This window comes from Homo sapiens, chromosome X (genome assembly GCF_000001405.40).
Source record: "Homo sapiens chromosome X, GRCh38.p14 Primary Assembly".
In the NCBI taxonomy this organism is placed as follows: Eukaryota; Metazoa; Chordata; class Mammalia; order Primates; family Hominidae; genus Homo; species Homo sapiens.
Genome location: NC_000023.11, coordinates 112012900 through 112033033, shown reverse-complemented (window position 1 = coordinate 112033033; position 20134 = coordinate 112012900). Strand labels below are relative to the sequence as shown.

The 20134-nt window shown below is 40.2% G+C and overlaps 1 protein-coding gene across 3 annotated transcripts in view, besides 1 other annotated feature; it reads left to right on the top strand.

Annotated features, from left to right (window-relative positions):
• Window positions 1–20134, top strand: part of TRPC5 (transient receptor potential cation channel subfamily C member 5) — a 314766-nt gene that overhangs the window by 49743 nt on the left and 244889 nt on the right. The gene's annotated exons all lie outside the window — the stretch shown is intronic.
• Window positions 6883–6942: an enhancer, noted in NCBI's record as "active region_29861". NCBI's record gives its function as "activates an Ori minimal core promoter by ATAC-STARR-seq in GM12878 lymphoblastoid cells {active_cell/tissue: GM12878}" and the evidence as "EXISTENCE:reporter gene assay evidence [ECO:0000049][PMID:35858748]".

Below are 20134 nucleotides of genomic sequence, written 5' to 3'. Positions count from 1 at the left end.
ATAGTATTCCATGGTGTATATGTGCCACATTTTCTTAATCCAGTCTATCATTGATGGACATTTGAAAACCTCTATTTTAAATTGGGCAAAAAACTTGACTATGCATTTCTCCAAAGAAGATATATGTATGGCCAAAAAGCATATGAGAAGATGTTTATCATCATTAGTCATTAGAGAAATGAAAATCAAAACCACAGTGAGAGAGCTCACACCTATCAGGATGTTTCATAATTTTAAAAAAGACAAAAACAAGCATTGATGAAGATGTACAAAAATTGGAACTCTTGCACCTTGCTGGTGGGAATGTAAAATGGTTCAGCCACTATGAAAAGCAATTTGGTAGTTCTTCAGGAAGTTAAACATAGAAATGCCATATGAATCCATATTTCTACTCCTAGGCATATACGCTATGTAACTGAAAACAGGTACTCAAGCAAGCATATGTACATACATTCCTAGCAGCCCTATTTATAATAGCCAAGAGATGGAAACAACCCAAATGCCCATCAATGGATTTATGTATGGATAAACAAAGTCTGGTTGATTCCATATGTTGTCTATTGTGAACAGTTCTTCAATAAACATAGGAATGCAGGTATCTCTTTGACATACTGATTTCCCTTCTTTTGGATACATATCCAATAGTGGAATTACTGGATCATATGAGAGTTCTATTTTTTTTTTTTTGAGGAACCTTCATACTGTTGTCCATAATGGTTGTACTAATTCACCTTCTCACCAGCAGTGTGTAACAGTTCCCTTTTCTCCACACCCTTGCCAACATTTGTTGTCTTTTGATTTTTTTGATAGTAGCCATTCTGACTGGAGTGAGGTAATATCTCATTGTAGTTTTTATTTGCATTTCCCTGATGATTAGTGATGCTGGGCATTTTTTCATATGCCTATTGGCCACCTGTATGTCTTTATTGGAGAAATCTCTATTCAGCTCTTTTGCCTATTTTTAAATCAGGTTATTGGTTTATTTGTTGGTGAGTTGCTTGAGTTCCTTACCTATTTTGGATATTAACCTTTCATCAGATGTATAGTTTGCAAATGCATTCTCTTATTCTGCAGGTTGTCTCTTTGCTCTGTTTATTGTTTTTTGAGATTATATATATATATATGTAATATCAAAGTCTATATGAAATATATATATATACAATGGAATATTACCTAGATTTAAAATGAAATGAATTACTGATACATGCTACAACATGGATGAACATTGAAAACATTATGCTAAGTAAAAGAAGTCAGATACAAAAGGTCACATATTGTATGATTTCATTCATGTGAAATATCCATAATAGGTGATAATATTATCTATATCTATAGATATATATACATCTATGTATATAGATATATATCTATTTATCTATGTCTATATCTATGATAATATTATCTATATCCATAATAGGTGAATTTCACCTCAATAAATTATTTTTTTAAACTTTGCTGGTGCTCAATATGTATTTTAAATGTTTATTTTTTAGTTAACTCCTATTAACATAATTAAGAATACACAGCTTCAGCAAACTGAAAACAAAATTAGCCAATAAACAGGTGCAGAAATTGGAAACAGTAAGATTGGAGGGAATGCTCACAGTTAAAATGACAATAAAAGCACTGTCTGAGTTTCATAGCCAAGAAGCAATTCCCAGATGCCTGTCCTTGGTTTGAGTAGAGCAGGGAAGCTATTACTCAGACCTTTCATTCAAGGCAGGGACTGGAGGGAGCAGGAAATAATCCTTTAATTCCATGTCTCAAGGAGCTGGGGGTTTTGTCCCCTTTTCTTTTCTGCAGAAGATAGTTCATTGTGTTCATCTGCCCTAGGGGAACCTCCGGAGAGTTGGAGCCAGGATTTAGAAAAAACTAAGAAAGATCGAGATTTCCCTGCTTATCAGAACTCTTATGGAAAGCAATAACTGTGCTTTTAATGAAGGCTGAGTAGTATAGTGGAATAGACATTAGGTTGTAGAGCCAAAAAGACCTGATTTCAAATCCCAGCTCTGCCCCTTAATAGCCATGTGATGTCAAGCTATTTACTTAGCTGACTCAAACTTCAGTTTCCCCTTCTGTTACATGTAGATGTATAACCCTGCAGGATCCTTGTAAGGATTAAGTGAGATAGATATAAAATACCTAGCACAAAGCTGGGCACACAGTGGGTACTCAACACTAGTTATTTTTCTTCAGTCAAATAACAGATGTCCTCTCCATCCCACTCCACCTCTCTTGCAAAAATAGTAATTAGAATTGATTGATGATGAAGTATAGTAGGCCAAAATTTCAATTAGAAAGGATACTTAAACAATTATATAGGTGATGGATGCAATGCTTTTTCACATAGTAAAACATTCTGTGTGAAAGGATAGAAGCAGATTCCTCCAGGAGAGATCAGCAAAATGAGAGAAAGACAAGGCTGATGGACAAATCCATCCCAGAATTCCTGTTTTTTTCTATTGTCCCCACAAGAAACAAAAGCTATCCACATCCCATAAGCAATGGGAAGCTCAACAAACAGATTCATCACAATCATTTGAGCAAGAAGAGTAATGGTTTTCTTATCCTCCTTATGAGGCTCCAGGATTCGGAATGCTATAGCGATTAACAAGAATGTGTGTGTGGGTTGAGAAAGATGTTGGTTCAAATTCCAGATCTCTCACTTACTAGCTATGGACTTCGGGCAAGTCACATATCTTCGAGGCTTAGAGTTCTCATTTATAAATAATAATACTTAGCTTGTAGGGTTATTGTATGTATTACACAAGATGATACATGTAAAGTGCTTAGCACAATGCCTAGTACTTAGTCAATGACCAAAAAATATTCATTTCTGCTCTCTTTTTAATCACATAAAATTCTACTCTGTTTTACAGAAAGGAGCTCTTTTTAAAGATGAGGCTATCAGCTGGGTGCGGTGGCTCACGCCTGTAATCCCAGCACTTTGGGAGGCCGAGGTGGGTGGATCACCTGAGGTTGGGAGTGCCAGGCCAGCCTGACCAACATGGAGAAACCCAATCTCTACTAAAAATACAAATAGCCAGGCGTGGTTGCACAAGCCTGTGATCCCAGCTACTTGGGAGGCTGAGGCAGGAGACTCGCTTGAACCCGGGAGGCAGAGGTTGCGGTGAGTCGAGATCGCGCCATTGCACTCCAGTCTGGGTAACAAGAGCGAAACTCTGTCTCAAAAAAAAAAAAAAAGGATGAGGCTTTCATGAAAACGACTCATTATTCTACCTTTCTTCTAATTTTGAGTATCATTTAAGGGTCCTCTACTTTGGGTTATATAGCTACCTATTATTCTGTCTCAATTTGAAAGTTGAGAGACAGTTCACTCCAGTTAAAATGGCTTACACCAAAAAGACAGTCAATAACAAATGATGGTGAGGATGTGGAGAAAAGGGAACCCTCTTGCACTGCTGGTGGAAATGTAAATTAGTACAACCACTACGGAGATCAGCTTGGAGATTCCTCAAAAAACTAAAATAAAGGTGCTGTACAACCCAGCCATCCCACTGCTGGGTATAGACCCCAAAGAAAAGAAATCAGTACATCAAACAGATGCCTGCACTCCCATGATTGTTGCAGCACTATTAGCGATAGCCAAGATTTGGAAGCAACCTAAGTGTCCATCAGCAGATGAATGGACAAAGAAAATGTGGTACATATACACAATAAAGTACTACTCAGCCAGAAAAAAAGAATGAGATCCTGCCATTTGCAACAACATGGATAGAATTAGAGATCATTATGTTAATTGAAATAATCCAGGCACAGAAGACATTATATTACATATTCTCTCTTATTTGTGGGATCTAAAAATCAAAACAATTGAACTCACAGACATAGAGAGTAGAAGGATGATTACCAGAGGCTGGGAAGGGTAACGGGGGGTTGGAGGGAGGGTGGGGATGGTTAATTGGCACAAAAAGAAAACAGAAAAAATAAGTAAGACCTACTATGTGATAGCACAACAGGGTGACAAGAGTCAATAATACATTGCGTATTTTAAAATAACTAAAAGTTGAAAGGCAAGAAGCTTTTGTCAGCAGAAAATTCAACAAATTAAAAGTTAAAAGCAACAGATAAACAACAGATGCTGGAGAGGATGTGGAGAAATAGGAACACTTTTACACTGCTGGTGGGAGTGTAAATTAGTTCAACCATTGTGGAAGACAGTGTGGCGATTCCTCAAGGATCTAGAACTAGAAATACAATTTGACCCAGCGATCCCATTACTGGGTATATACCCAAAGGATTATAAATCATGGTACTATAAAGACACATGCACATGTATGTTTATTGTGGCACTATTCACAATAGCAAAGACTTGGAACCAGCCCAAATGTCCATCAATGTTAGACTGGATTAAGAAAATGTGGCACATATACACCATGGAGTACTATGCAGCCATAAAAAATGATGAGTTCATGTCCTTTGTACGGACATGGATGAAGCTGGAAACCATCATTCTAAGCAAACTATCACAAGGACAGAAAACAAAACACTGCATGTTCTCACTCACAGGTGGGAGTTGAACAATGAGAACACATGGACACAGGGCAGGGAACATCACACACCAGGGCCTGTCATGGGGTGGGGGCCTGGGGGAGCGATTGCATTAGGAGAAATACCTAATGTAAATGATGAGTTGATGCGTGCAGCAAACCAACATGGCACATGTATACCTATGTAACAAACCTGCACGTTATGCACATGCACCCTAGAACTTAAAGCATAATTTAGAAAAAAAGAAAAAAAAAAGTTAAAAGCACTAAGTTTCATCCCAGCTTTTCTAATAACTAGCACAGCATCTTTCTGGGCCTGTGTTTGTATATAGTGAATAAGGATCTTTGAACTTGAGTATTCCTTCCAGTTTTAAACTTGCATGAAACTAATTATTCAGGCCAACAATAAAAGACAAGTCACCACTTTGCTAGCAAGAAGAAAAGAAATATGTACATGGGGATATTTGAGGGACCTTGAGAAGTCAACCAGTTTGCTTAATGCTAGGATGATTTAAGTCTGACACCTGGGATAGAGATCCCATACATTCTTTGTTGATGTTCTCTAAGGTTTTTCTCCCTGAAAGTAAGCCTCTGTGATTTATATGTACGGAATAAGTAAAGTATGCAAATATCATAAGTATATAATAGTCACTGCACTGATGCAGTGAATCAACCTATATTCTGAGACATGATGGGCTCTGCAGTATGAAATAACTTTGAGGTACTCGGCCAGGCGCGGTGGCTCACGCCTGTAATCTCAGCACTTTGGGAGGCCAAGGTGGGTGGATCATGAGGTCAGGAGATCGAGACCATCATGGCTAACACGGTGAAACCCCGTCTCTACTAAAAATACAAAAAATTAGCCAGGCGTGGTGGCGGGCGCCTGTAGTCCCAGCTACTCAGGAGGCTGAGGCAGGAGAATGGCGTGAACCCGGGAGGCGGAGCTTGCAGTGAGCCAAGATCGCGCCACTGTACTCCAGCCTGGGCGACAGAGCGAGACTCCATGTCAAAAAAAAAGAAAAGAAAAGAAATAACTTTGATGTACTCATAAAAGAGGATCCAGAAAGATAATTTGTTATTTGGTCTGAAACTTAAACATAATCTGCTCTCAGGGCTGAGGGTGTTTTCTCCTATTATCAAGCCTATGTAGTTAAACTTTGGCCCATGTATTTTGAAAGATGAAGCATAACTAAACTTACAGAACTTCCCAATCATGCACACACATGCGCATACACACACAACATACACACACACATTTTCCTTTCCTCCTAAAGGAGACAGGATCTATTTTTCAAATTATATCAGTAAGATTTGATTCAAAGAACACATGAATTATCTTCACCCTATAGGTGGAGCAATTTACCAATACTACCAAGAATAGAGCTTCTAGAAGGCCAAAACTTAGAGAAGGTCACTAAAGGGCAAGTTCAGAGTCTCAGGATCAAGGGCAGAAATGTGGTAACTGTTGCTTCTGTCTCCCTAGTCCAGGAAAAAGGCAAGAAATTTCTTCAGATGAACAGAAAACTAAATGCCTCCATGGAAGCTTGTCCTCCTTGACCCAAATTTCTTTCTTTCTTTCTTTCTTTCTTTCTTTTTCTTCTTCTTTTTTTTTTTTCATGGTCTCACTGTCACCCAGGCTGGAGTGCAGTGCCAAATATCTTAATGTAGCAATTTCTCTCCACAAGGCAATATATAATCTAGAAATTCAATGTCATACACAATCACCGCCATTAAGAAGCTTTCAATCCAGCCAGGACTCTACACATACAAATAGAAGCATTGACTATAGGGTTCCATGATGGTCAGGAATGAGAAAATCAAAATTAAAAAACAACAAGCATAGACTATAAGAACTGAAAGAGGTTAAGATAATCTAGTCCAGTGGTTTTCGTACTTTTTGGTAGAATTTTTTAGGGTTCCATAGAAGGGCCTCAAACTATTGAAAAAGAGTCTAGGGCATTTCTTTGCACCTAGGAGGCTCTAGCTTCATGACCTTCTTTTATTTAACTTTATTTATTGTTTTATTTAACTTTTACTTTATCTTATTTAGTTCTACTTATATTGTTAGCAGAAAGGGTTCCATGACCAAAACAAAATGCTTGAAAACCATAGCTCTTATTCAAATTCTTCAATTAAAATATAAAGAAATGAAGGCCCTGAAAGGGTCCAGCAATCTGTCCAAAGTTTTTCTGTAACTAGCCAAGCCATGAAGTGTTGAAGAAAAGATACATTACCTTGTGACATCTCTGCTTCTTTCAAGTGCCAAATAAGTGCTGGAGACAAATCATGTAGGTGGATACAATCACAGGGGGACTTCAGTGGACAGAGAGTGCTTCATAAGGGAGATTGGGCTTGAACTGGGCTATGACCTGTGAGGAGAGTTTCAAGAGTTGGAAGGAGGGTATCATGGCAGAAGTACAGTCTAAATGAAGGTGCAGGGGCACTGATGCATCCAGGAGTGCTCTTATAACTGTTTCTTGTGGAAACGGTATGATTATGAAAGCTGTTAAATAATATTGAGAATAACACTATTGTGTGTTTGTGTCAGGTGAGACACAATGAGGAAGTAAAACCAAAATGCTTGAAATGAAAGAAGTTTATTACTCACAGGTTCAAGAGGTTGAGGGTGCCAACAGGAGGCTAATAGGAAGCCTGGGGATAGCAGAGTGCTCAACCAGTGGATGGGGAGTGAGAAAGGGGGTATATCTGTGGGACTATGGCTTTATTAAGGTCCATGGGCATTATCTCTTAGGTTTTCCTGTGAGAATTGTGGATTGGCTAGTTTAAAGAAAACACACATGAAGAGGGATCTTATTCACATGACTCTGGTGTTCATTAGGTTTTATCATGATTACCAGCTGTGGAGTGTGCTGGGTTTGGGGTTAATGAGATGCGGAATTTGTGAACTATATTACAAACAAACACATGGAGAGTGGAAGTTTTAACTAGGTCAAAGGTGATGGGGGCATGACTAGGTTACCAATAACTTATGTCAGGCCAAAAAAAATGAATGCCAAGGCAGTGATTATATTAAACAAATTTACGACATGGTGTTAGTGACCTATGGTTCCTGCTCACCAAACATTTTGATTCTCATTCTGACAAAATCTGTTGCTACTGATCTTTTCAGAATGGTGTCTGTACTGGAGGATTCTGTCAAATCAGCTTTGGTATGAACCTTAATAAGCTATAATTTCTATAATTGGCATAACTGGCTAATTTTTCTTTTCATATCCATCAGCAAGCTTAGAGATAAAATACCAAATTTTATCCCATATACTGAAATACCATTATTTACAGTGCGTTTTGATTATCTGCAGCTAGACTTTTTTCATAATATCTGGGTACCCACTTCCAACACATAATTCTGTTTAATTGTCATGACCACAAAGACCATTCTTCCTGAAAGGCATTGTATCCCCATTTCTATTTAAAAGACACCAAAGAAAGCAAGGGGTTTGTGTTGTATTTGGTATGAATAGTTTCAGGGATGATTAACAAATGATTCTTGGCTAAAAGAAAGAAATGTTGGGAGTTGATATTATTGCATACTAGTGATGATTTAGTTGCTTTACTTTTTTAGCTTTACTATGGCATAGGCATAGAGTGAGAGAGTTCATTAGAATAATTTCTCTCTTTATTAAATGGAAGTAATCCCAGGGAGGTGACTTACCCAAAGTCATGTCACACATAAATTGAGTCAGGATTACAGGTCTCTTAATCATTCACAAAACTTCCTTTCTCTAAAATCACCCTAATTTGAAATATTTTCTGAAGTCTAGTAAGACTGCTTGAGACTTTCTTTCATCTTTTCTTGTGCTGTTCATGGAGCAGCACAACTTGACTGTGGAAGGGTAGGTGTATTAGTCAGGGGCCTCTGCAGGCACTTATTAAAAAATTGACTTGCATGATTATGGGGGCTGAGAGTCCCAAGACCTGCAAGCTGGAGACCTAGGAAAGCTGATGGTATAGTTCTAGTCTAAGTCTGAAGTCCTGAAAACCAAGAGAGCTGATTGTACAAGTTCTGGCCCAAAAGCCACAGGCTTGAGATCCAAGAAGAGCTGATATTTCAGTTCAAGTCTGCAGGTAGGAAAAGACTGATGTCCTAGTTCAAGTAGTCAGGCAGGAAGGGTCCCCTCTTACTCTCAGAAGGGTCAGCCTTTTGTTCTATTCAGGCCTTCAATTCATTGCATGAGGGCCATCCTCATTAGGTAGGGCAATCTGCTTCACTCAGTCTACCAATTCAAATGTTAATCTCACTCCAAAACACCCTCACAGACACACCCAGAATAATGTTTGACCAAATATCTGGACACTCTATGGCCCAGTCAAGTTGACAGATAAAATTAACCATCACAGTCAAGATGAGGGAAACTCTTCTTTTTGTAAAGGGAGATAGAACTTGGGAAATCATTAGTCTTCTGTCCTTCCACTCATAGAATGACCAGCATCTCCAAGCAGGCAGGTTCATTTTTAAGATGATTTAAAGGTGGATGAAGCTTCCAAGACCAGAGTTCCTATAAAAGAGATTTCTAGAGATTGAAGGCACCATTTCCCTAACTCTATAAATGAGGGAGGGGTGTAATATTGCTAGTTGGAACTGCTCTCACCCCCTTTTCAATTTTTATGTATTTGGGCTGATCTCACCATGCATTTTTCCCTCTGCTGGGGTTTGGGCAGAGTTTGGAGTAGCAAATATATGAGGATATTCAGCAAGGGAACCATAAGCCATGGAAAAACATGGAAATATAGCTGTAAATGGAGGCAGATTATAGATGCAGAATATAGGAACATGTCAGGAAAATAGTCCAGATATAGGAAGTTCATGGCAATTGCAGATAATAATGAGATAATAGGTCAGAGCCTGACAAGTAATCAATAGCAGACTCTAGAAGCTAAATGGCAAGCCAAGTCCAAGGAAAGAGTCAGAATAGTATAAATTGACACAAGGCTCCAAAGACAAGAAGATTTATAAACCAGACAACTTCTGTCTCTGACAGGAAGCCTCTTATACTTTTTTTATAGTAGTCTGGGGCCTGCTTGCCAGGATCTAGCCAGTTCAGGACCAACATTGCTGCAAGTCACAGAATCACGATCTTTGTCAGAAGTACCTGCCAAGGACTGTGAGAAACCCACAAGAGGCTGGAGGTTGGAAACAGATTTCAGTAGAAGGAGGTAAATTTGTAAAAAGAAGGCCAAAAAGAAAGGAGACAGAAAAGAATTTTAAAGTAACTAAGTCCTGTTTGTAAAAAAAAAAAAAAAAAAAAAAAAAAAAACAAAAAAAAAAACTGCTGGGCGCAGTGGCTCACGCCTGTAATCCCAGCACTTTGGGAGGCTGACGCTTGCAGATCACAAGGTCAGGAGATCGAGTCCATCCTGGCTAACACGGTGAAACCCCGTCTGTACTAAAAATACAAAAAATTAGCCGGGCATGGTGGTGGGTGCCTGTAGTCCCAGCTACTCGGGAGGCTGAGGCAGGAGAATGGCGTGAACCCGGGAAGTAGAGCTTGCAGTGAGCCGAGATCGCGCCACTGCACTCCAGCTTGGGTGACAGGGCGAGACTCCGTCTCAAAAATAAAAAATAAAAAAAAAAATCTTCCTCAATCCCCACAGACAAGTTTAACAGAGGGCTTCACATTGTTGTAATCAGACTACATAAATGCTAAACAATAAAAGATAGAAAATGTTAGTATTGTTGTCAGTAAAATTCATAGCAGTTAATCTTGTCCCAGTAAAATGTTACTTATGGTATATCCCCTGGCCATTAACATGTTTTTATTTCTTTTCTTGAGCTTAAGCAAAAGTGAAGGGCATTACCAGTCGAATTTTCTTTTTGTGGTTGTAATTTTGAAACTACTGTAAACTTTTCTTCCTCTCATAACCATGCCTTTTCTAGAGTCCATAGTCCCACTCCATGACAATTACACTACAAAGCAATGTACAGGTTTTAGTTATGATGTTCTGTCTGGAACGGTGAATGTGAACACTCACTCATCCATGCAACACAGGTATTGAGCTTCTACTATGTGTCAGGCATTGTTCTATGCTCTGGAGATACAGCAGTGGAAAAATGCACACAAAACTCTCCTCTCTCATAAAGCTCATGTTCTGGTGAACTTTCTAACATGCTGTTTAGAGGACCTGATAACTAGGACTTCTGGCCTATCATGGTACACACATGAAAAATCAGCTTTTCGTTTCAACCAAAAGCTCTTTCCTCTCTGCCTGTACTTTAATGGTTTAGTGGAATATCTCAGTTTTAGAAAAGCATTCCTATTCTCCATCAAAAATGATATAAGATTGGGAAAAACAGAAATCTGAATGTGACTTAGATCATACTTCTTATTGCATAAATACAGTATATCCTACCTCCATAGATTTCTTGTACTCTTATATACTCCAGAATGTATACCTGGGCTTGACTTCAAGCTCCTGGGCCTGCTGAAACCAGACCCTTTAGGGGCCATCATTCAGAATCTACAGATATTTACTGAACACCCATTAAGTGCTGGTCACATGGCTAGACACAATCAAATCATCATCCCGTTTATTCCTCACAACAATTCTGTAAAAGGTAAAGAACAGGTATTCTTAATCTTCACAGACTTTCGGTTTCTCAGCAAGATGTGCAATGACTTACCCAAGATCTATAAACCAGTAAGCATTCCATTGGAATATGAAAATCATTCTTTGACTCTATGATCTTGCCTCCCAGTGTTCTTATGGGGGACTCTTTTTCCCTATTGATCACCTTCATTGAAAACATGCATGCCGACATAACACACACAGTAGCCTTGGTCTTTATTTAGAACAGGTATATTCAATTATCCTGACTGTTCAATGTCTATTATTTCCTTTAGATTCCACATTTGCATGGGAACATCAAGTGGGGACAGCAAGGTATTGGTGATAATGAAAAGACCATTCACTAGTATATGACTGAGAGTTTGAACATCTTTCCCTATTCCATTTGGTATTGGTAAATCTGAGGCCTGAGCAGTTTCTCAGTAGAGATTCATGCAAAATCAGAGGAAAAGCCCCAGACATCTGTATGAGTAGCAAAATTTATGAATATTCTATTGTACCACTGGTTAGTAGGGAAAAGCCTTCAGTTATGACTCAACCTCAGAAGTTAATTAGATGGAAGCACCTATACTAATCTTCCGCAGGCCTCCCTGTGTTCTGTTTTTGTTTCGTTTATTCTACTTGCCTACTATACTTACTGTATGGGTTGACATAGTGGACATCATTTGATATTGTGAATCCAGAGGGTTTTGTGGACCACGAAGTCTGTTCTCAATTATATGTAAGGATGGGGAAGACAGAAAAAAAAGAGAAAAAGCTATAGGTGATAAATAATTCTTCATGGCTCAGTGGAATCAACTGTTTGTTTCTACCCCAGCTCCCACAGGACCTTTCCACAAAGCTTCTAACAACCAGAAAGCAAACTGATTTTCTGCCAGTTTCTTCCATTCTCCTGTGGCCCTGTGATGGAGGTGGTAACGAGGAAGATAAAGACCCTAAAGTCCAGTAGCAAATGGAAGTTATCAAGTGGCCTGAAGCATCAGGCAACTAGATAAATATCCCCAGAAGAGTTGAAAATTGACTGCTGTCATGAGTGGGAAAAGTCAGCTGCAGTCAGATTATTGATTATTTTGTAGTAGAAAAATTATCCCCAGTGTCTGAATCCTTGGAAAAATGAACAATGAAAAGAAAAGATTTTCAATAAATAACCTAAGCTGATTTGACAGGGATCTGAATCAGGCCCCTGCAAAGGTAAGAAATATAGGAGGCAGCCATACCTTTAAATTCAGTCTTTGACAGAGTCAGATATGATCATTGACGGTCACACCCCAGAGATTTCATTATTTTTAGATTTCATTATTTTTTCTGCCTCTGCAAAAATAATACTTGCTCATCTCATCACATTGATAATGTACTGTCAACACTGGAGAAACAAACTGTGTGTGTTTTTTACATTCAGGCCTAAGAATGTCACTCAGGTAAGGTTCCTTCAAGACCCTAGGATATTACATTTCCTTCTGTGTTCCTCATCAGATCCTTTTTAATGGTCTAATCAGAGAACTTTGAAGCTCAAAGGTAATTTCCATCCTAAGCTGTTATGATTACTCGCCTTCAAAGACCCAGAACCTCTGAGTCCCTGTCCTTAAAAGACTGTTCTCAAATAATTCCATCACTACTTGGTCCTGAAAGAGAAATAGAGCTGTGTCTTTGCCCAAGTTACTCACCTCTTAAACAATTGGTTTAAATAAAAATATACATCTGAAAAATGGAAGATTCAGCACAATTCATGATTTAACAACTAGCATTGCTGGGCATGGTGGCTCACACTTGTAATCCCAGCAGTTTAGGAGGCCAAGGCAGGAGGATTGCTTGAGCCCAGGAGTTCAAGACCAGCTTGGGCAACATAGTGAGACCCTGTCTCAAAAGAGAAAAACCTAGTATATTCAATGTTAGATACGAATGCGAGGATGAATCCAATGTTATATACAAAGTAGTTTTCTTTTTCTAAAACTTGAAGAATAAAAGTGTTTTTAGGCTTTAAGTTATTTCAGAATGCAGGTAGTCATGGAGAAGATGAGAAAGTTAGTTTGATGAGAGATTTTAAGCTCATCAGATCTCAAATGCTCCATTTTCCAGCCCTTCCAACAGTCAATAGATTCTAGAAAGAAAAAAAAATAACATGAGATGGCTGCCAATGATCACTACCAGAAGGCTTCCACTTGCTAGGCCTCCATTTCCTCATCTGAAAAATGGCGGAGTTATTGGCCAGGCACGGTGGCTCACGCCTGTAATCCCAGCACTTTGGGAGGCCAAGGTGGGCGGATCACGGGGTCAGGAGATGGAGACCGTCCTGGCTAACACGGTGAAATCCCATCTCTACTAAATATACAAAAAATTAGCCGGGTGTGGTGGTGGGCGCCTGTAGTCCTGGCTAGTCGGGAGGCTGAGGCAGGAGAATGGCGTGAACCCGCGAGGCGGAGCTTGCAGTGAGCCGAGATCGCGCCACTGCACTCCAGCCTGGGCGACAGAGCGAGATTCCATCCCAAAAAAAAAAAAAGGAAAACCGGGGGAGTTATTTTATATTATATTTAACATGCCATGCATTCCAGTGCTGGCATTGCCTTAATTCAAATGCCCCTTCACAGTTCCTGTGGCTACTTCCTCAATAGGCTTTCTCTAGCTTCGAAAGAATTGCCTCCTTCTGTAGACTCAAAGTTTCTTCTCATAATTTATTTCTCACTGAAATGATGGAGGCCCTTGTCAGAATTTCTGTGATAGGTGGAATTCTAAGATGGCCTGCCAATATTCTCAGTCGCTGGTGTATATACACCTTCTCCCAGTTATTCAATCCAACACCAATCTAGATACTGCTATGAAGGTATTTGCAGATGTAATTAAGGTCCCAAATCAGGACCTTAAGATGGTATGATTATCTAGATGGGACTAAACAGTTGCATAAGCGCTTTAAAAGCAGAGTTTTATCTGGCTGGTGAGAGAGGAAGTCAGAGAGACAGGATCCAGCTGACTTGGAAGAAAGCAAACATTTATCTTGTGAACTGCCTTTGGGAGCCACATGGCAAGATACTGTGGGAAGCTTCTAGGAGCTGAGAGGTCGCCAGCCAACAGCTAGAAGAAAACCAAATTCTGCCAACAAATCGAATGAAATGAGAAGAGGCCTTGAACCCAGATGAGAAATTCAGCCCCTGCCAGACACCTTGATTTCAGTTCAGTGAGACTATGAGCAGAAAATCAAAGCATGCTGTACCCAGACTTCTCACGCACAGAAACTGTGAATTAATACGTTTATGCTATTTTAAACCTTTAAGTTTTACTAATTTTTATGCCGCAATAAAAAACTAATATAGGTCCTTTTAACCATCAAGGCCTGGCTTCTCTTGGCTTCCCCACTTTTCTTGCTTTAAATTTCCCTTAGCTTGGGAATTATTTATTCTTCTTCACATCTCTTCTCTGAAAAGACATGAGAAAGATTTACAGATAATATATTTGTAAATGGAACAACATTACATGACGTAGCCACAGCCACAACTTCCTGTCATTAGTGAAACTAAAGACATGAAATATAGTAATATGAGTTAAATACTCAGTCACCCAGAGGAATGGAAAAATAAATCCAAAATGATTCCATGAACCTTTTAGCCAAAGTTTCAGCGTTCAATACAAACCTAGATATAATATCAATTCCTTTATTCAATTATTTAGAAATATTTAGCTAGCACTATGTCAGATAGCAGGGACACCATGATGGGCAAGACAGAAAAGGTTTCTGCCCTCATGGAGCTGACAGTCTAGTGCAGTGTGGTCCAGTAGAAATATAATACAAGCCACATTTGTATTAGGTTGGTGCAAAAGTAATTGTGGTTTTGCCATTTGCATTTATTACCTTCAAAGATGTCAATAAAAACCAAGTGAAATTATTTCAATGTAATTTATTTAACCCACTGTATCCAAAATATCATTCAACATGTAATCAGTATACAAAATTATCAATGAGATATTAGGCATTCTTTTTTATTGTACTAAGTCTTCAAAATCTGGTCTGTATTTTATACTTACTATGTATCTCACTTCATACTAGCCACACTTTAAGTGCTCAATAGCCACATGTGGCTCATAGCTACTGTACTAGTTTAATAAGTGTTAACCAGATGAATGGCAGGTAAAACGGTGTTCTAGAAGAAGGAAATAGCATAAGCAAAGGACCAGCAGTGCAAGAAGATGAATGTGCCCAAAGGCTAGAGGAAAGAAAGCAGAACATTTGCAGAAAAACACAAGTATTTCAGACGCTGCTGGTGTGTGGATGGGGAAGGAAGAAGAAAGGCCCAGCGCCCCAAGGTCCAAGGCCCAACACCTCACTTCCTGCTGAGATACTCTGTCAGCTCTGCTTCTTTCTACATTAGGTCCCTCATAAGTATATTCCTTTCTCTGCTTGGAAATTTTATTCTCTAAACCTCTCCTCCCAAGAATATCTAACCTCTCATATCCCGTAAAATAGTAGGCTTAATTCTGCCACATTATTAGTGGCAATCACCCAAGGAAAAGGCTATCACTGGGGCCGAAAATAGTTTTGCAGTGCCTCAGACATTTAGTTTGTATTGCCACCACTCTGGGCTTCTCTACCTGCCCCAGAAGTTTCTCTCTTCCTCTGTAAAAGTAGTAATAATCGTGGCTGGGCGCGGTGGCTCACACCTGTAATCCCAGCACTTTGGAAGGCCAAGGCGGGCGGATCACGAGGTCAAGAGATCAAGACCATCCTGGCCAACATGGTGAAATCCCGTCTCTACTAAAAATACAAAAAATTATCTGGGTGTGGTGGCACACGCCTGTAGTCCCAGCTACTCGGGAGGCTGAGGCAGGAGAATTGCTTGAACCCGGGAGGCAGAGGTTGCAGTGAGCCGAGATTGCACCACTGCACTGCAGCCTGGAGACAGGGCAAGACTCTGTCTCAAAAAAACAAATAAATAAAATTTTTTAAAAAGGAGTAATAATGATAAACAACAACTGCCACGTATTAAGTACTTAAAATGTGCCAAGCTAAGTGCTTTACACGGATTACCTCTTTTAACCCTCACAAGAGCCCTCTATATCAGGCTGCTTCATTATCTTTTGTTTACAGGCAAAAACTGAGGCTTAGAGTAGTGAAGTGATTTCATCAAAGTAATGCAGCAAATAGGAGGTACAGTTGGGATTCAAACCCAAGGAGTCTAAATTTGGATAGTTTACATTAAGTTATTGTGCTTCACCTCCCTCTACACACACATGCACACATGGGTGCATGCACAAGTACACACAGAGCAAAAGCTAAGGCTCTGGGAAATACATGGTCAAGTTCGACCGAGCCCTCAGGAGGGTGAGCTGGTGGTCATTCTGAGGAAAGAGAGATGAGAAGATGGTCTTAAAGTACTAGGATGTGGGACCAGGAAGAGAAAGGGTATCAGGACTGACCTGCCAACTATGCTTTCTGAGCACCCCTGTCTGGGCCAGGATTTATGCCAGCTCATCCTTACCTTGGACTATATAAGAGAAACACAGGTAAGAAAGACTGAATTGCTATTAAAGTTGATATTGTTGGGCCAGTCTCTCCTTGAGATACACACACACACACACACACACACACACTCCAACCTTCCAGAGGTGCTTCTCTGTACATTGTAATGTAATTGGTGTCTCAGGGCTACTGGGCCCATTTATTGCCTCTGTTCTTGCCTTTGATCCTCTAGAGAAGAGGTGATGGATGGCAAATGCAGGAGCCGCCTTGCCGGTCATTCTAAGCAAACAGAATCACTAACCAATTTCCTCCCAACCTCATCATCTCTGTCTAGTTGTTCCCCACCCCCATCTTTGTAGAGAATAATTAAACTTGCAAGCACTGGGCATTGTTACTTAAAGCTAACTGCAATATTCAAAAACAACCCCAAAGATTTTTTTTCCTGGTCTGCTGCCCTGGATTAAGGGTGGCTTTGTTTTGTTCTGATTTCTTGCTGCCTGTGATATCTAATTTGCCATTGTGCTTTAACAACAACTCTCTTTAAATACTAGAAGACAGTTCTAACCATGGCAGGGGGAGATGGAGGCAAAGACGCCCAAGCTCTACAGACACTGAATCAGGATAAACATCCTAATTATTTAACTCTTTCTTCAGCTACTGGCCTCCTCCTATTACCCAGGAGAACATTTGCTTAGTTCCTCTAATGCACACCATTTGTATTTCATCTGTCTTCGCAAATGGATACTTGGTAACTTTGATACAGCTCTACCCAACACAGCTGTGTGGGTGTGCAAACCCTTATAGTGCTTGAAAATTGTCATGGAGATTGAGGTCTAAAAAAATCAGCCATCTAAATTGTCTTTTAAGGGGCACCGGATGACGCGAATTGTGCCCCTTCCAACAGTGGTTTACAAAGTGTAATCCCTGAACCAGCAACATTCACACCACCTGGAAACCTAGAACTCTAAATTCTGGCCAAACATGGTGGCCCACACCTGTAATCCCAACGTTTTGAGAGGCCAAGGTGGGAAGATAACTTGAGGCCAGGAGTTTGAAACCAGCCTAGGTAAGAAAGCAAGGCCTCATCTCTACCAAAGAAAAAAAAAAATCCAGATTCTTTGGCCCCACACCAGCCCTACTGAATCAGAAACTCTGAGAGGGGGAAAATCTGCATGATTCAGGTGGCTCTGAAGCACGCTAAAATTTCAGGACCACCGAATCTAGAGTTAGAGAACCTGTGTTTAAAAGGCAAGAAGACCCCTGTCTCTCCTAAAAATACAAAAAATTAGCCAGGTGTGGTGGCAGGCACCTGTAATCCCAGCTATTCAGGAGGCTGAGGCAGGAGAATCAGTTGAACCTGGGAAGGGGAGGCTGCAGTTAGCCAAGATCATGCCATTGCATTCCTGCCTGGGCAACAGAGCCAGACTCTGAGACTATGTCAAAAAAAAAAAAAAAAATGGCAAGAAGGCAGAGTAGAGGGAAAAGCGGCTTTATTTTTAACAGTGGTTTTCAACATTGGATGCATACTAGAATCATCTGGAGAGCTCTAAAAATACTGATGCCCAGGTCTTACTCCTAGAAACTCTGACTTTGTTGGTCTGGTATGGGGCCTAGGCATTAGTATTTTTTCAAAGCTACCCAGGTAATTCTAATGTGCAACCAGGACTGAGAGCCACTATTTTTAGAAATATAGGGGAGGATGTCATCTGGAGATCTTTTACCTTTTCAGTTATAACCTGGTCCATGCCCTGTTTTGGATCAGGGGAGTGCTAGGATGGCTCATGAGAAATCAGGAGGTATTACCAGTTTGAGAAGGGGAAGGAAAGGCAGCTAACATGCACTGAATGTCTGCTATGCACCAAGCACTATGCTAGGCACTATATCCACACATCCTTGAACAGATAGATTTGCTGGCAGCAATCGCTGTTGAGCATCCAAGGGAAGGAATTAGAATAAGGAGATGATTAGTTCACAGGAGCACATGCAGAGAAGCTTCTCATTATAACCACTCAAGGAATAAACGAACAAAAAACTGTAAAGAGCCAAGCATATATTTGGGATGAGTTAGGTAGATCCCAGTTTAGATGCAGAAGGCTGGACTAAATGACCTAATATTTTTTCAAAATTTATTCTAGAATACTATGAAAAGGCATAATGTCAGATACAATCTGGAAGCTATTTCTGCACATTCAAAATGATGGAGAAAACTGAGGTACTATCTCCCAAACCATTCTCACTGAAAACTTTGAGCTGGCTCAGGCAACCTTAAAGAGGAACGAGGTTAAGTATTACACCCATTTTATAGACTAAAACAGTGGTTCTCAATGTATGGTCCCTGGACCAGCAGCACCAGCAGCACCTGGGAACTTGTTAGAAATGCAAATTCCCCATCCCCATCCCACTTCTACTGAATGAGATGCTCCAAGCTTGGGGCCTTGCAATCTGTGTTTTAACATTCTCTCAGGCAACCCTGATGCATGCTTGAGAACCGGTTTTAGAACCACAGTTTACTGAGTTTGTTCAACTGATCCTCAAGGGAGGAGTCATTTTTAAAATTTTTTTCACATCAGCAAGTATTCACTGAGGATCCTGCCTATCTATACCCCAACGATGCCCTTCTCTGAATTGTACTGGAAAACTAAGAGATGCAAGGCTGCAGGGAGGACTGGCAATGTGGCTGGCAGGAAATACTAGAGACTGAGGCTCCAAATCATATAATGTGCTTGTAGTGTGACCCTACAAAGATTACCTAACAACTCTGAGTCAAAATCTAGCACATGGCAGGTGTTCAGTAAAGATTTGGTAGCTAAATACCTGTAAGGATGATAGTGCTGAAGGAGACAGGATACAATGAAGGAAGCAGGAGTCAGACATATCTCAGTTTGGGCCCTGCCTCTGCCTTTGAACTAGCTCTCTGATCTTGAGCAAGGCACTTCCCATTTTAGCCTCAGTTTTCTCAGCTATAAGATGAGGGAGGGAGATTCTGATTACATGATCTCTATAGGCTCTGTTGACATCTAAACTGTTCTGTTTCAAAATGAGCCAGGCACGGTGGCTCAGGCCTGTAATCCTAGCCACTATGAGAGGCCGAGGCAGGCAGATCACCTGAGGTCAGGAGTTCAAGACCAGCCTGGCCAACACGGTGAAACCCCGTCTCTACTAAAAATACAAAAATTAGCTGGGCATGGTGGCGCACGCCTATAGTCCCAGCTACTTGGGAGGCTGAGGCAGGAGAATTGCTTGAACCTGGGAAGCGGAGGTTGCAGTGAGCTGAGAGAGCACCACTGCACTCCAGCCTGTGTGATAGAGTGAGACTCTGTCTCCAAAGTAAATAAATAAATAAATAACAACAACAACAACAACAAAATCTACACTATGATCTTGAGACAGTTTAGTGATCCAATTTCTATAAAGATAGGGCTATATAAATACAAAATGTACTGAAGCCTCAAGATACATTTTATATACAGGATCAATTTCCAGCACCCGGCAAAATACTGCTATTTAACACCAAAGGAAGTGGCTTAATAACTAGAGCTTTCAATTGTCTGAGTAGTACACAGGAGTATTTCCTCATGGTAGGAAGTTGTTT